The sequence below is a fragment of the Homo sapiens genome, chromosome 8 (genome assembly GCF_000001405.40).
Source record: "Homo sapiens chromosome 8, GRCh38.p14 Primary Assembly".
Lineage (NCBI taxonomy): Eukaryota > Metazoa > Chordata > Mammalia > Primates > Hominidae > Homo > Homo sapiens.
Window position 1 is genome coordinate 47,289,770 of NC_000008.11, and position 17,556 is coordinate 47,307,325.

The 17,556-nt window shown below is 39.0% G+C and overlaps 1 protein-coding gene across 53 annotated transcripts in view; it reads left to right on the forward strand.

The window, feature by feature from the left end:
- Positions 1 to 17,556, forward strand: part of SPIDR (scaffold protein involved in DNA repair) — a 475,429-nt gene that overhangs the window by 28,892 nt on the left and 428,981 nt on the right. For 35 of the 53 annotated variants that reach the window (NR_148202.1, NR_148205.1, NR_148204.1 and 32 more), the window contains 2 exons: positions 1,264 to 1,368; positions 4,098 to 4,261. Coding sequence is in view for 39 of the 53 variants with exons in the window: in XM_017013268.3 (XP_016868757.1) it covers positions 1,264 to 1,368; positions 4,098 to 4,261 (269 nt within the window). In the remaining 14 variants the exon portion in view is untranslated. Of the gene's footprint in view, positions 1 to 1,263; positions 1,369 to 4,097; positions 4,262 to 17,556 lie in introns of those variants that run through there. The other 18 variants (XM_017013270.3, XM_047421644.1, XM_047421642.1 and 15 more) reach the window with 3 other exon arrangements.

Below are 17,556 nucleotides of genomic sequence, written 5' to 3' on the forward strand. Positions count from 1 at the left end.
GAGAATGAAAATTAAATTCACATAACATCTTATACACAGATGTTCATAAGCAGCTTTGTTCATAATAGCCCCAAACTAGAAACAACACAGATGTCTTTCAGTAGGTGAATGATTAAACAAACTATGGTGCATAGTACCATGGTGTACTATTCAGTAATAAAAAGAAAATAAATGTTGATACACACAACTTAGATGAATATCTAGGAAATTATTCTGAGTGAAAAAAGCCAATTCTAAAAAGTTACATAGTGATTTTATTTATATAACCTTTTTGTGTGTGTGTGTGTGAGATGGAGTTTCACTCTTGTTGCCCAGGCTGGAGTGCAGTGGCTCGATCTCAGCTCACTGCAACCTCTGCCTCCTGGGTTCAAGCGATTCTCCTGCCTCAGCCCCCCCTGAGTAGCTGGGATTACAGGCACCCGCAACCACGCCTGGCTAATTTTTTGTATTTTTAGTAGAGACAGGGTTTCACCATGTTGGCCAGGCTGGTCTCGATTATATAACATTTTTAAAATGACAAAATTACAGAAATGCAAAACTGAGTAGTGGTTGACAGAGTTCAGGGATTGGTATGGGGCCAGGAGATGGTGTAGCTATAAAAAGGTAATAAAGGCATCCTGTGGTGATAGAATTGATCTGTATCTTGACTGGATCAGTGTCAGTATCCTGGTTGTGTTATACTACAGTTTTGCAAGATATTACCATTGGAGGGACTGGGTGAAGGATACAAGAGTTTTCTCTTATTTCTTACAACTATATATGAATCTAATATTATCTCAAAATAAAAAGTTTAATTAAATACAAGGTTTGGTCTTAAGTGTTTTAAGCACCCTGCTACCAGAGCTCTTAGCATGGCAAAGGAAGCACACAGAAGCATTCCTGTTACTCATAAGTTTTGACTTTGTGTTTTGCATTTTAAAAAATTTTTTGTTTTCATCAAATACCCCAGAAAGTTATACTTTTATAAATGTTATTTCAAGTCTTATTTTTCCGGTTTTCATTTGTGCTCTAGTCACTTTCCTTTTTTTGTATAACTTAACCAGTTCTACTTCTTTTTCTTCTTGGAACTTGGCTTCGAACTCAGAGAATGTTAGTGAGATTGTACGTAGAACTTTAGGTAGGAAGATTTGACATAGACATTGCTTTTCCTATCACAGAGTTTTGTGTATTTGTGACTTTGGCAAAATTACATGCATAAAATTGTATTCTGATAAATGACCATATAAGGAGATCATATTTATGTGCTTTCTTTTCCTTCAACAGAAACCACCACATCTAAAAGCACCAGTGGGCTTACAGACATAACATGGAGCTCCAGTGGAAGTGATTTGTCGGATGAAGATAAGACACTTTCTCAGTTACAGAGAGGTAATGGACATTGCTCTAGAATAGACAGATTTTGTAACAGGAACATATTGTGTCCAGAAGATCAGAGTAATGAAGGTAAATTGATAATTTTGTTAGGAATCCAGTTTCTGTTAAATATTGGATTTAATATTGGAAGAAACTTACATTCCTTTCTAGTATTTATCATTAACATTCCACCTATCAGAATGGCTACAATAAAAAGTAGTGACAGTACAAAATGCTGGTGAGGTTGTGGAGAAACTGGATCACCAGTACATTGCAGGTGTACAGTAAAATGGTATAGCCACTCTGGAAAACAGTCTGGCGGTTTCTTAAAGACTAAACATGCAATTACCATATAGCCCAGCAACTGCACCTTTAGGCATTTGTCCCAGAGAATGAAAATTAAATTCCTTTCTAATAGTTAGGATTTTACTGAGTCCCACCCTCTATGCTAAACACTTCAGAAACATTTTCTTGTTTAATATTTCTCAAAACAACTCTAAGAAACTCTAAGAGATAGGTATTACAGATATTATTTTTACAGTTAACAACTTAAGCTTGGACTGATGAGAATGGATTGGGATTCCATTTTAGGTCTCTGCTCCATAGCCAGTTCTTTCAACGTCTACACAGTGCCACACCCACACTGCCTTCTTCCCAACCTGTTCGGTAAATACTGTGACAACCAGTGTGTGGTAGAGGTGTAACGTACTGACAAATTTCTATTCAGATGGCGTTTTATATTGTGTCATGTTTTAGACAATTGAAAGCAGAGTTTCTCATCCTTGACACTCTTGACATTTTGGGCCAGATGATTCTTTGCTATGGGGAGTAACACCTTCCTATGCCTGTAGGATATTCTGCCGTGTCCCTTGCCTTTACCTGCCGGGTCACAGTAGAATCCCAGCCACAGTGATGATAACCAAAGATGTCTCCAGATGTTGTCAAGGGTCCCATGAAGGACAAAAATCACCCCTAGTTGATAACCACAGATGTTGAATTATGGAAATCATGTCCTTTTAGAATTTTTAAAATATACAAATCATCTATAGAGTATTTCAGTGTCTTAATGTTTTCAAAATAAGCTTATGACTTTTAACTCTTGACGGTTCATGTTAGTTACCTAGGGTTCAGTTTGTACAGACAGCTTCTCGGGAGGGTAGTTAAATTCTTTTGACCACTTTGTATTTCATTTTGGTAACTATTAATATCATTGACCTTTTAGTAGTTACCAGGTGAAGTGGTATTTTAAGATTGTATATAAGCTGATAGCAGTTCTATTATTGATTCAACCATATTAAATGAAATTTATTGTTACTTGGTTTGTCTTCATACATTTCAGAATACAAAGTTTATAAAAATGGGTAAATAGTATGGTTTGTGCCTCCCAAAGTGCTGGGATTACACATGTGAGCTGTCGCGCCCAGCCTCCCTTCCATTTGGTTTTTACCAATTGTCTAAAAGTTTTTATAACTTTTGGAAAATCTCTTAAATTATTGTAGACCCAATTTCCTCATCTGTAAAATGCAAATTTAAGTGTAATAGTAGCAGTCTTCCTGCTTTTTAAAAGTTTTGTGACCACAAAAGTTTTGTGACGAAAGCCCCCGTTATTTCATAGCATGCATCACATTGCAATATGTATTAATTTGTGGGCTACTTCAGGCTAGGAATGGTGCTGTTTTCTCTATTGTATTTATTTTGTATTGTGAGTATCTCGAATGGTGTGATGGGCTCTTTTTAGGCATTTGCTTTGTCTAATGAATGAAGGAGTGAATGAATGAATGAGTGCTGCACAGATGTGTGATACCGGCAGCGGCTCTGAGGGCACTTGTGTTTTTCCCTTGTCTCTCCCTGGCTTCCTGTTGAGAAGGTTCAGCAACCTGGAAAATCTCTAATGTGTTCCCCTGCCTGGCTTCCGTGACTAAATTTGATGTTAATGTGGGAAGCCGTTGCCATTATGCATCTGCTTCTCTCAGTGGTGGTCTGACCTTCGGTCTGTTATGATCATTATAGTGGCTGTTTTTTTTAAGAGATGAGGTCATGCTCTGTCACCCAGGCTGGAGTGCAGTGGATCATAGCTCACCGCAGTTTCAAACTCCTGGGCTCGAGCGATCCTACTACATCCTCTTAATTATGTTTAGTGAAAAAGTCTAGCTGTGTAAGAAAGGAGGAAAAAAATAACAATACATAGTTTATTTGCTTAAACATGCTGGAGAAACTCTACAAAGATACAGAAACACCTAATAAAAGTAGTTAACTTAAAATTGGGGTTGGGATAAGATTTGGGAGAAACAGTGATTTGAGATAAGAGTAGAAATATACTTTTCACTGTCTAAATTTTTTTTGAGACAGAGTCTCGTTCTGTTGCCCAGGCTGGAGTTCAGTGGCAAGATCTCGGCTCACTACAACCTCCACCTCTCGGGTTCAAGCGATTCTGGTGCCTCAGCCACCTGAGTAGCTGGGACTATAGGTGTGTGCCACCGTGTCCAGCTAATTTTTTGTATTTTTAATAGAGACAGCATTTCATCTTGTTGGCCAGGCTAGTCTTGAACTGCTGAGTTTTGGCATTCTGCCCACCCTGGCCTCCCAAAGCGCTAGGATTACAGGCATGAGCTATTGTGCCTGGCCCTAAATATATTTTTTAAAATTATTGAGTGACATGGATATATTAACTGCTAAGAATAAAAGAGATATAAAAGTGAAAGATTAAGGAGATAATTAAGCAAGTTAAAAATTATATTTTTTAGATGAATTACAGTTTATCGACTGGGAGATTGACAGTGACAGGGCAGAGGCTAGTGACTGTGATGAATTTGAAGATGACGAGGGTGCTGTGGAAATCTCAGACTGTGCTTCTTGTGCAAGTAATCAGTCTTTGACAAGTGATGAGAAGCTGTCGGAGCTTCCCAAGGTAAGAATGAAGTATTTCAAAACTTTTATTCACTTTATAACATTTGCTAATCATAGTTGTCATTTTTTTTTTTGTTTTTTTTTTCCTGTCCTTCCTCGAGAACAACCACTTTTGACTCTTAGGGGATTCTTTTGTTCTTTACTCACTTATCTCTAAATAACATGCTTGTGCTGTACTTCTCAACATGGATAAATATTGATCTCACTTCTCTTTCACTTCCCACCCTCACTGCACACCGAATGTTTTTTATCCTGCTATTCTTCCAGTGCAGATATATCAAAGTGCTGGAATTGCACATGTCAGCCACCATACCTGGGCAAAAAGATACAAATTTAAATCAGCTGTCTTCCACGAGTCCTCTCCCAGTGGAGTCACACAGTATATGCTTAATTCTTCCAGCAAAATGTTTAGACAACATGTGTGAAGTGTTATGTACCAGGGAACTCATTAGAGACTCAGTGCCCAGGGTTTGTATTAGGGGCTAGTAACATAGGCACCCTCTCCCTAGAAGGTTCAGCAGTGGACTAGGAGGATACACAGGACTTAGCATATAGTCGTACTCGTGGCCATCGTTTATTACACTGAAAGGATAGAAATCTATTTTTATTTATTTATTTAGAGACAGGGTCTTGCTGTGTCACCCAGGCTAGAACGCAATGGTGCGATCGTAGCTCACTGTAGCCTTGATCTCCTGGGCTCAAGTGATCCTCTCACCTCAGCCTCCAGAGTAGCTGGTCCTACAGGCATGTGCCACCACGTCTGGCTAATTGTTGTATTTTTTGTATGTTAACTCTTTTCTGCATGTATGTGAGTTTGTAGTTTTCATCACATTTGGTAAGTTTTTGGCTTTTACTTCTTAATTTTTTTTCTGACTCCCCTTTTCGTTTCCTCCTGTGACTCCAATTACATGTATATTAATTAGGCTGCTTAGTGTTGCGTCATGTCTCATTTTTGCTGTCATTGTTTTTTCCCCTTCATTTCATTTTGGGTGGTTTCTGTTGCTACATCTTCTAGTTTAATAACTTTTTAAAAATTCTTCAGTATATTCTGCAGCTAATACTATCCAGTGTATTGGTCATCTCTGACATTGTATTTTTCATTTCTGGAAGTTTGATGTGAGTCTTTATATTGTCCATGTCTTTTCTTAACATGACATACTTTCTTCTATATTTTGAACATACAGAGTATATTTATAATAGCTGTTTTTAATGGCTGTTTTGGTAAATCTGTCTGTGTCATTTCTGTGTCTATTTGTCCTCCTTATGAGTTGTATTTTTCTGCTTTTTTGCATGCCTATAAATTTTAAAAAATTGTAAAATACAATGCACTATTATTATAGTCTTCATTCTGTGTATTAGATTACTAAAGCATATTACTTCTGTCTAAATGAAATTTTGTATCCTTTAGTCAGCATCTTCCCTTTCTCCATCCACTTTTCTCTCCCAGCCTCTGGTAATCAACATTCTACCACAATTCTGTGAGTTCTACTTTTTTAGATTCCCCATGTAAGTAAGATCATGCTGTATTTGTCTTTGTGTGCCTGGCTTATCTGAGTTAACGTAATGTCCTCCAGGTTCATTCATGTTGCAAATGATAGAATTTCCTTCTTTATCAAGACTGGATAGTATTCCATTGGTGTATATATACTATATTTACTTTATGCATTCGTCTAGACACCTAGATTGCTTCCAAATCTTAGCTATTGTGAATAGCACTGCAGTTAACATGGGAGTGCAGATATTTTTTTAGCATACTGATTTCAATCCTTTGGCCCAGAAGTGGGATTACTAGATTATATGGTAGTTCTATTTTTAGTTTTTTGAGAGACCTTCATACTGTTCTCCATAATAGCTGTGATAATTTACATTCCCACCAACAATGTACAAGTTCCCTTTTTGCTACACACTCACCAACGCTTGTTATCTTTCATCTTTTTGATAGTCTTTCTAACAGGTGTGAGGTGATCCCTCATTGTGGCTTTAATCTGCATTTCCCTGGTGAGTGGTGATGATGAGCATTTTAATATATATCTGTTGGCCATTTGTACATCTTTTGAGCAATGTTTAGGTCCTCTGCACATTTTTAAATTGGGTTCTTTGTTTTCTTGCTATTGAGTTGAGTTCTTTGTCTATTTTAGATATTAGCGCCTTATCAGATATGTAGTTTGTAGATATTTTCTCTCAATCCATGGCACATCTTTTGCTCTGTTGTTTCTTTGCTGTGTATAATCTTTTCAGTTAGATGCAATCTCATATGTTTTTGCTTTTGTTGTCAGTGCTTTTAGGGTAATATTTAAGAAATCTTTGCCCAGACCAGTGTTATGGAGCATTTTCCCTATGTTTTATTTCAGTAGCTTTACAGTTTCAGGTTTTATGTTTAAGTCATTAGTCCATTTTTAGTTGATTTTGGTGTATGGTGTGAGATAAGGGTCTAATTTCTTTCTTTTGCATGTGGTTAACCTGTTTTCCCAGCACAATTTATTGAGGATTGTCCTCTTTCCATTGTATATTCTTGGCACGTTTGTTGTAAATAATTGACCACAAATGTGTGGGTTTACTTCTGGGCTCTCTACCCTGTTTGATTGGTTAGTTGGTCGGTTTTTATGCTGTGCTGTTTTGGTTACATTAGCTTTGTAACAGGTTTTAAAATCAAGTACTGTGATACCTCTAGGTTTGTTCTTTTCGCTTTGGCCATTTGGGGTTTTTTGTGGTTCCATATGAGTTTTAGGATTGTTTTATTCTGTGAAGAATGACATTGGAATTTCGTTAGGCATTGCATTGAATCTGAATATCACTTTGGGAAGTATGAATAGTTTAACAATATTCTTGCATTCCATGAATATGGATAGCTTTCCATGTGTTTGTGTCATCTACTATATCTTTCATCAGTGTTTTGTATTTTCTAGTATATACATCTATTGCCTCCTTAAATTTACTTCTAAGTTGCTTTTTCTCGATGCTACTGTAAACGGGATTGAGTTCTTAATTTCTTTTTCAGGTACTTCATTCTTAGAATAGAGAAACACTGTAGATTTTGTATCCTGCAACTTTACTGAATTTGTTTATCAGACTTAATGGTTTTTTGGTGAAGTTGTTAGCATTTTCTATATGTGAGACCATGACATCAGCAAACAGATGATTTCTCTTCTTCCTCTGATATGGATGCCTTTATTTCTTTCTCTTGCCTAATCGCTCTTGCCAGGACATCTAACTCTGTTGAATAGCAGTGGCAAGAGCGGGCATTCTTATCTTGTTTTTGATCATAGAGGAAAAGCTTTTACCTTTTTCCAGGGAGCATGGCAGCTGTGGGCTTGTTACATATGGCCTTTATTGTGTATAAACACAATATATTCCTTCTATACATAATGTGTTGACAGTTTTTATCATGAAATAATTTTGAGTTGTGTCACATGCTTTTTCCATATCTATTTTTTTTTATTATTATACTTTAAGTTTTAGGGTACATGTGCAAAACGTGCAGGTTTGTTACATATGTATACATGTGCCATGTCGGTGTGCTGCACCCATTAACTCGTCATTTAACATCAGGTATATCTCCTAATGCTATCCCTCCCCACCTCCCCCACCCCACGACAGGCGCCGGTGTGTGATGTTCCCCTTCCTGTGTCCATCTGTTCTCATTGTTCACTTCCCACCTGTGAGTGAGAACATGCGCTGTTTGGTTTTTTGTCCTTGTGATAGTTTGCTGAGAATGATGGTTTCCAGCTTCATCCATGTCCCTACAAAGGACATGAACTCATCATTTTTTATGGCTGCATAGTATTCCATGGTGAATATGTGCCACATTTTCTTAATCCAGTCTATCATTGTTGGACATTTGGGTTGCTTCCAAGTCTTTGCTATTGTGAATAGTGCCGCAATAATCGTACGTGGGCATGTGTCTTCATAGCAGCATATTTTGTAATCCTTTTGGTATATACCCAGTAATGGGATGGCTGGGTCAAATGGTATTTCTAGTTCTAGATCCCTGAGGAATCGCCACACTGACTTCCACAATGGTTGAACTAGTTTACACTCCCACCAACAGTGTAAAAGTGTTCCTGTTTCTCCACATCCTCTCCAGTACCTGTTGTTTCCTGACTTTTTAATGATTGCCATTCTAACTGGTGTGAGATGGTATCTCACCGTGGTTTTGATTTGCATTTCTCTGATGGCCAGTGATGATGAGCATCTTTTCACGTGTCTTTTGGCGGTATAAATGTCTTCTTTTGAGAAGTGTCTGTTCATATCCTTTGCCCACTTTTTGATGGGGTTGTTTTTTTCTTGTAAATTTGTTTGAGTTCATTGTAGATTCTGGATATTAGCCCTTTGTCAGATGAGTAGATTGCAAAAATTTTCTCCCATTCTTTAGGTTGCTGTTCACTCTGATGGTAGTTTCTTTTGTTGTGCAGAAGCTCTTTAGTTTAATTAGATGGCGTTTGTCAATTTTGGCTTTTGTTGCCATTGCTTTTGGTGTTTTAGACATGAAGTCCTTGCCCATGCCTGTGTCCTGAATGGTATTGCCTAGGTTTTCTTCTAGGGTTTTTATGGTTTTAGGTCTAACATGTAAGTCTTTAATCCATCTTGAATTAATTTTTGTATAAGGTGTAAGGAAGGGATCTGGTTTCAGCTTTCTACATATGGCTAGCCAGTTTTCCCAGCACCATTTGTAAAATAGGGAATCCTTTCCCCATTTCTTGTTTTTGTCAGGTTTGTCAAAGATCAGATAGTTGTAGATATGCGGCATTATTTCTGAGGGCTCTGTTCTGTTCCATTGGTCTATATCTCTGTTTTGGTACCAGTACCATGGTGTTTTGGTTACTGTAGCCTTGTAGTATAGTTTGAAGTCAGGTAGCGTGATGCCTCCAGCTTTGTTCTTATGGCTTAGGATTGACTTGGCAATGCAGGCTCCTTTTTGGTTCCATATGAACTTTAAAGTAGTTTTTTCCAATTCTGTGCAGAAAGTCATTGGTAGCTTGATGGGGATGGCATTGAATCTATAAATTACCTTGGGCAGTGTGGCCATTTTCACGATATTGACTCTTCCTACCCATGAGCATGGAATGTTCTTCCATTTGTTTGTATCCTCTTTTATTTCATTGAGCAGTGGTTTGTAGTTCTCCTTGAAGAGGTCCTTCACGTCTCTTGTAAGTTGGAATCCTAGGTATTTTATTCTCTTTGAAGCAATTGTGAATGGGAGTTCACTCATGATTTGGCTCTCTGTCTGTTATTGGTGTATAAGAATGCTTGTGATTTTTGCACATTGATTTTGTATCCTGAGACTTTGCTGAAGTTGCCTGTCAGCTTAAGGAGATTTTGGGCTGAGGCAATGGGGTTTTCTAGATATACAATCATGTCATCTGCAAACAGGGACAATTTGACTTCCTCTTTTCCTAATTGAATACCCTTTATTTCCTTCTCCTGCCTGATTGCCCTGGCCAGAACTTCCAACACTATGTTGAATAGGAGTGGTGAGAGAGGGCATCCCTGTCTTGTGCCCGTTTTCAAAGGGAATGCTTCCAGTTTTTGCCCATTCAGTATGATATTGGCTGTGGGTTTGTCATAAATAGCTCTTATTATTTTGAGATACGTCCCATCAATACCTAATTTATTGAGAGTTTTTAGCATGAAGGGTTGTTGAATTTTGTCAAAGGCCTTTTCTGCATCTATTGAGATAATTATGTGGTTTTACTCGTTGGTTCTGTTTATATGATGGATTACATTTATTGATTTCTGTATGTTGAACCAGCCTTGCATCCCAGGGATGAAGCCCACTTGATCATGGTGGATAAGGTTTTTGATGTGCTGCTGGATTCGGTGTGCCAGTGTTTTATTGAGGATTTTTGCATCGATGTTCATCAGGGATATTGGTCTAAAATTCTCTTTTTTGGTTGTGTCTCTGCCAGGCTTTGGTATCAGGATGATGCTGGCCTCATAAAATGCGTTAGGGAGGATTTCCTCTTTTTCTATTCATTGGAATAGTTTCAGAAGGAATGGTACCAGCTCCTCTTTGTACCTCTGGTAGAATTTGGCTGTGAATCCGTCTGGTCCTGGACTTTTTTTGTTTGGTAAGCTATTAATTATTGCCTCAATTTCAGAGCCTGTTATTGGTCCATTCAGAGATTCAGCTTCTTGCTGGTTTAGTCTTGGGAGGGTGTATGTGTCCAGGAATTTACCCGTTTCTCCTAGATTTTCTAATTTATTTGTGTAAAGGTGTTTATAGTATTCTCTGATGGTAGTTTGTATATCTGTGGGATTGGTGGTGATATCCCCTTTATCATTTTTTATTCCGTCTATCTGATTCTTCTCTCTTTTCTTCTTTATTAGTCTTGCTAGCAGTCTATCAGTTTTGTTGATCTTTTCAAAAAGCCAGCTCCTGGATTCATTGATTTTTTTGAAGGGTTTTTTGTGTCTCTATTTCCTTCAGTTCTACTCTGATCTTATTTCTTGCCTCTGCTAGCTTTTGAATGTGTTTGCTCTTGCTTCTCCAGTTCTTTTAATTGGGATGTTAGGGTGTCAATTTTAGATCTTTCCTGCTTTCTCTTGTGGGCATTTAGTGCTACAAATTTCCCTCTACACACTGCTTTGAATGTGTCCCAGAGATTCTGGTATGTTGTGTCTTTGTTCTTGTTGGTTTCCAAGAACATCTTTATTTCTGCCTTCATTTCGTTATGTACCCAGCAGTCATTCAGGAGCAGATTGTCCAGTTTCCATGTAGTTGAGCGGTTTTGAGTGAGTTTCTTAATCCTGAGTTCTAGTTTGATTGCACTGTGGTCTGAGAGACAGTTTGTTATAATTTCTGTTCTTTTACATATGCTGAGGAGTGCTTTACTTCCAAATATGTGGTCAATTTGGAATAGGTGTGGTGTGGTACTGAGAAGAATGTGTATTCTGTTGATTGGGGGTGGAGAGTTCTGTAGATGTCTATTAGGTCCGCTTGGTCCAGAGCTGAGTTCAGTGCCTGGATATCCTTGTTAACTTTCTGTCTCACTGATCTGTCTAATGTTGATAGTGGGGTGTTAAAGTCTCCCATTATTATTGTGTGGGAGTCTAAGTATCTTTGTAGGTCTCTAAGGACTTGCTTTATGAATCTGGGTGCTCCCGTATTGGGTGCATATATATTTAGGATAGTTAGCTCTTCTTGTTGAATGATCCCTTTACCATTATGAAATGGCCTTCTTTGTCTCTTCTGATCTTTGTTGGCTTAAAGTCTGTTTTATCAGAGACTAGGATTGAAACCCCTGCCTTTTTTTGTTTTCCATTTCCTTGTAGATCTTCCTTCATCCTTTATTTTGAGCCTATGTGTGTCTCTGCACGTGAGATGGGTTTCCTGAATACCGCACACTGATGGGTCTTGACTCTTTATCCAATTTGCCAGTCTGTGTCTTTTTATTGGAGCATTTAGCCCATTTACATTTAAGGTTACTACTGTTATGTGTGAATTTGATCCTGTCATTATGATGTTAGCTGGTTATTTTGCTCATTAGTTGATGCAGTTTCTTCCTAGCCTTGATGGTCTTTGCAGTTTGGCATGTTTTTGCAGTGGCTGGTACTGGTTGTTCCTTTCCATGTTCAGTGCTTCCTTCAGGAGCTCTTTTAGGGCAGGCCTGGTGGTGACCAAATCTCTCAGCATTTGCTTATCTGTAAAGGATTTTATTTCTCCTTCACTCATGAAGCTTAGTTTGGCTGGATATGAAATTCTGGGTTGAAAATTCTTGTCTTTAAGAATGTTGAATATTGGCCCCCACTCTCTTCTGGCTTGTAGAGTTTCTGCCGAGAGATCCGCTGTTAGTCTGATGGGCTTCCCTTTGTGGGTAACCCGACCTTTCTCTCTGGCTGCCCTTAACATTTTTTCCTTCATTTCAACTTTGGTGAATCTGAGAATTATGTGTCTTGGAGTTGCTCTTCTCGACGAGTATCTTTGTGGCGTTCTCTGTATTTCCTGAATTTGAATGTTGGCCTGCCTTGCTAGATTGGGGAAGTTCTCCTGGATAATATCCTGCAGAGTGTTTTCCAACTTGGTTCCATTCTCCCTGTCACTTTCAGGTACACCAATGAGACGTAGATTTGGTCTTTTCACATAGTCCTATATTTCTTGGAGGCTTTGTTCGTTTCTTTTAATTCTTTTTTCTCTAAACTTCTCTTCTCACTTCATTTCATTCATTTCATCTTCCATCACTGATACCCTTTCTTCCAGTTGATCGAATCGGCTACTGAGGCTTGTGCATTCGTCACGTAGTTCTCGTGCTGTGGTTTTCAGCTCCATGAGGTCCTTTAAGGACTTCTCTGCATTGGTTATTCTAGTTAGCCATTTGTCTCGTTTTTTTCCAAGATTTTTAACTTCTTTGCCATGGGTTCGAAGTTCCTCCTTTAGCTCGGAGTAGTTTGATCGTCTGAAGCCTTCTTCTCTCAACTCGTCAAAGTCACTCTCCGTCCAGCTTTGTTCCGTTGCTGGTGAGGAGCTGTGTTCCTTTGGAGGAGGAGAGGCACTCTGATTTTTAGAGTTTCCAGTTTTTCTGCTCTGTTTTTTCCCCATCTTTGTAGTTTTATGTACCTTTGGTCTTTGATGATGGTGACGTACAGATGGGGTTTTGGTGTGCATGTCCTTTGTGTTTGTTAGTTTTCCTTCTAACAGTCAGGACCCTCAGCTGCAGGTCTGTTGGAGTTTGGTGGAGGTCCACTCCAGACCTTGTTTGCCTGGGTATCAGCAGCGGAGGCTGCAGAACAGCCAATATTGGTTTATACCAAATGTTGCTGCCTGATCATTCCTCTGGAAGTTTTTGTCTCAGAGGAGTACCTGGCCATGTGAGGTGTCAGTCTGCCCCTACTGGGGGGTCCCTCCCAGTTAGGCTACTCGAGGGTCAGGGACCCACTTGAGGAGGCAGTGTGTCCGTTCTCAGATCTCCAGCTGCATGCTGGGAGAACCACTACTCTCTTCAAAGCTGTCAGACAGGTACATTTAATTCTGCAGAGATTTCTGCTGCGTTTTGTTTGGTTATGCCCTGCCCCCAGAGGTGAGTCTACAGAGGCAGGCAGGCCTCCTTGAGCTGTGGTGCGCTCCACCCAGTTCCAGCTTCCCTGTGGCTTTGTTTACCTACTCAAGCCTTGGCAATGGTGGCTGCCCCTCCCGCAGCCTGGCTGCTGCCTTGCAGTTTGATCTCAGACTGCTGTGCTAGCAATGAGCGAGGCTCCGTGGGCGTAGGACTCTCCGAACCAGTTGTGGGATATAATCTCCTGGTGTGCCATTTGCTAAGACCGTTAGAAAAGCGCAGTATTAGGGTTGGAGTGACCCGATTTTCCAGGTGCTGTCTGTCACTCCTTTCTGTGACTAGGAAAGGGAATTCCATGACCCCTTGCACTTCCCGGGTGAGGTGATGCCTCGCCCTGCTTCGGCTTACGCTGGGTGCACTGCACCCAGTGTGCTGCACCCTCTGTCCAACACTCCCCAGTGAGATGAACCCAATACCTCAGTTGGAAATGCAGAAATCACCCGTCTTCTGCGTCACTCACGCTGGGAGCTGTAGACTGGAGCTGTTCCTGTTTGGCCATCTTGGCTCCACCCCTTTCCATATCTATTCAGGTGATCATATGGATTTTGTCTTCCATTCTATTAACGTGGTGTATCACATTTATTTATTTGCATATGTTGAACCATCTTTGCATCCCAAGGGTAAATCCCACTTGATCATGTGAATGATCCTTTTAATGTGCTGTTGAATTCAGTTTATTAGTATATTGGTGATTTTTGCATCCTTGTTCATCAAAGATGACATGGTAGCTTGGATTACAGGCGCCCGTCACCATGCCCAACTAATTTTTGTATTTTTAGTAGAGACAGGGTTTCACCGTATTGGCCAGGCTGGTCTTGAACTCCTGACCTCAGTTGATCCACCCACCTCGGCCTCCCAAAGTGCTGAGATTACAGGTGTGAGCCACTGCACCTGGCCTGCGGTATTTTCTTTTAGGACATTTAACAGATGTATTTGATTACTGATAAGACTTTCCATATTAAGTTGATAGTACTTTTTATTCTTGTCTGGGTTTTTATAATTTATTTTATTGGTATCTTCCAAGAAGCATTTGCTATGGTTTGAATGTCCTCTCCAAAACTCTTGTTGAAATTTAATTACCATGGTGACAGTATTAAAATAGGGGACTAATATAGTTTGAGTCTGTGTCCCCGCCCAAATCTCATGTTGAATTGTAATTTCCATTGTTGGAAATGGGGCCTGGTGGAAGGTGACTGGATTATGGGAGTGGATTTCTCATGAATGGTTTAGCACCAAAACCCTTGGTACTGTCCTCACAATAGTGAGTGAGTTCTTATGTGAGCTGATAATTTAAAAGTGTGTAGTGGTCAGGCACTGTGTCTCCTGCCTGTAACCCCAGCACTTTGGGAGGCCAAGATGGGAGGATCAGTTGAGCCCAGGAGTTTGAGACCGACCTGGCCAACATAGCAAGACCTCGTCTCTATTAAAAAAAATTAAAATAAATAAATACGTAAAAGTGTGTAGTACTGCCCACTTTGCTCTCTTGCTTTCACCATGTGAAGTGTCTGCTTCCTCCTCCCCCTGCTTTCACCATGTGAAGTGCCTGCACCCACTTTGCCTCCCACCATGAGTGAAAGCTCCCTGAGGTGTCCCCAGAAGCATATGCCACCATTCTTCCTGTACAGCCTGCAGAACTGTGAGCCAGTTAAACCTCGTCTTTTATAAATTACCCAGTCTCAGGTATATCTTTATACCAATGTGAGAATGGTATACATTAAAAGAATGGTATATATTAAAAGAACCTTTTAATGGTTCCTGTATTAGGATTAGGCCATGAGGGCCTTGCCCTCATGAATAGATTAATATCATTATCACAGTAGTGGGTTTGTTACCACAAGAATGTGTTGTTATAAAAATTTTCTGTCCCTTGCTCTCACCCTCACTTGTCGTTCTGCTTTCTGCCATGGGAAGGTGTAGGACAAAGGTCCTCACCAGGAGCCAGCACCTTGATATTGGAATTTTCAGCCTCCATAACTATGAGAAATAAACTTCTTTTCTTTGTAAGTTACCTATCTTGTGGTATTCTGTTAAAGCAAAGCAAAGTGGACTAAGACACCATACCTACAGAGGGCAGCAGAGACATAGCAGTGAATTCTCATAACCTAATTTTTCAGGAAGTGTGAAGGAAATTGGATTTAGGTGAACTTTGTTATGTCATTCTTATATACTTTATGTAGTGACTCCTATGCAAATACAGGCTAATAGACATAATCAATGTAAAGTAATGTGAGTGAGACTCAGGCACATTTGTGAGAAGGTAAACAACAAGCTGGCTGGCACAGATAAGAGATCTGAAAGTAGTTCATGTAGTTTTAAAGGAAAAGTAAATGTGGCTTTCAAATTTGAAATACGGATTCATTTTTATGAAACAGATATTTTGTTTGTATTCTTATCAGTAAGGGTAGAAAAAATGATTCAGTAACTCATAGAAGATGGAATTACGGAAAAGTTTAAAAAAACAGGAATAAACAAAATTTTGTACTACATGGGAGTGTATTATAATCTTGCAGAAAGTGATCTGACAAACCTTTAAAAACATTTCTAAATTTAATGTGCATATGTATAATTTTCTGTATTTTTACTTATTTATATAAATTTTTGAAAATCAGTTTTGCTTTTAATCGGTTTTAATAGTGAGTTAGAATAAAATGATATGACTAGATGTGTACTAATTGTTAATGCCTAAGAACTGCCCATTGTTTTCATCTTTTTTCCCAATGTTTTACATTTTAAAATACACATAACATAAAATTTACTATTTTGACCATTTTAAAATGTGCAATTCAGTGGTATTGAGTATCTTCATAATGTTGTGTAACTACCATCACCACCTTCTATCTCCAGAACTCTTTTCATCTTGTAAAATTGAAATTCTGTACTCATTAAACAGTAACTCCTCCTTCTGTCTTTCCCTAGCTCCTGGCAACCACCATTCTACTTTGTGTATGATTTTGACTACTGTAATTACCTCATATGAATAGAATCATACAGTATTTGTTTTTCTGTGACTGGTTTATTTCACTTAGCATAATATCCTTAAGGTTAATCCATGTTGTTAGAATTTTTTATTTTTATTTTTTGAGATGGAGTCTCACTCTGTTGGCCAGGCTGGAGTGCAGTGGTGCGATCTTGACTCACTGCAACCTCCGCCTCCTGGGTTCAAGTGATTGTTGTGCCTTGGCCTCCTAGTATCTGGGATTATAGGCGCACGCCACCACGCCTAGCTAATTTTTGTATTTTTACTAGAGACAGGGCTTCACTATGTTGGCCAGGCTGGTCTTGAACTCTTGACCTCAAGTGATCCGCCCACCTCAGCCTCACAAAGTGCTGGGGTTACAGGCATGAGCCACCGAGCCCGGCTAGAATTTCCTTCTTTTTAAAGGCTGAATAATATTCCATTGTATGTTTATACCACATTTTTTACTTAATTTGTGACCTAACATATGGTCTATCCTGGAAAATGTTCTATATTCACTTGAGAAGAATATGTATGCTATTGTTGGGTACAGTGTTGTGTATATGTCTGTCAGATCTAGTTGGTTATTGTCTGAGGTCCTCTGTTTCCTTACTTATCTTCGATCTGGTTATTCTATCCACTATTGAAAGTAGGGTATTGATTTAATCATCTGTTATTTAGAAAGGTCTGTTTCTCCCTTCAGTTGTCTGTTTTTCCTTCATGTATTTTTGAGGTCTTTTAATTGGTGCATAAATGTTTATAATTTTTGTCTTCTTGTTGTATCAAATCATGTATTCATATATAATGTCCTTTGTCTCTTGTAACCTTTTTTGATTTAGACTGTTTTCTCTGTTGTTAGTATAGCCACCTCTACTCTGTTCTGGTTAGTATTTGCATGGAATATCTTTTTCTGTCTTTTAATTTTCAAACTGTGTCTGTCAGTCTAAAGTAAGTCTAGTATAGGCAACATATGGTTGAATCCTCCTCCATTCTGTCAATCTCTGTCTTTTGATTGGAGAGTTTAATCCATTTGAATTTAAATTATTTGTACAGAAGGATTTCTGTCATTTTGTTGTTTGTTGTTTACATAACTTACTGCTTTTTGTGGGGGCCCTCATTTCCTGCATTACTGTCTTCTTTTGTGTTTACTTGATTTTTTTCATGAAATGTTTAAATTCCTTTCTTCTTTCTTTCTTCTTTTTTTTTTTTAATGGAGTCTCTATCGCCCAGGCTGGAGTGCAGTGGCATGATCTTGGCTCACTGCAACCTCTGCCTCCTGGGTTCAAGCAG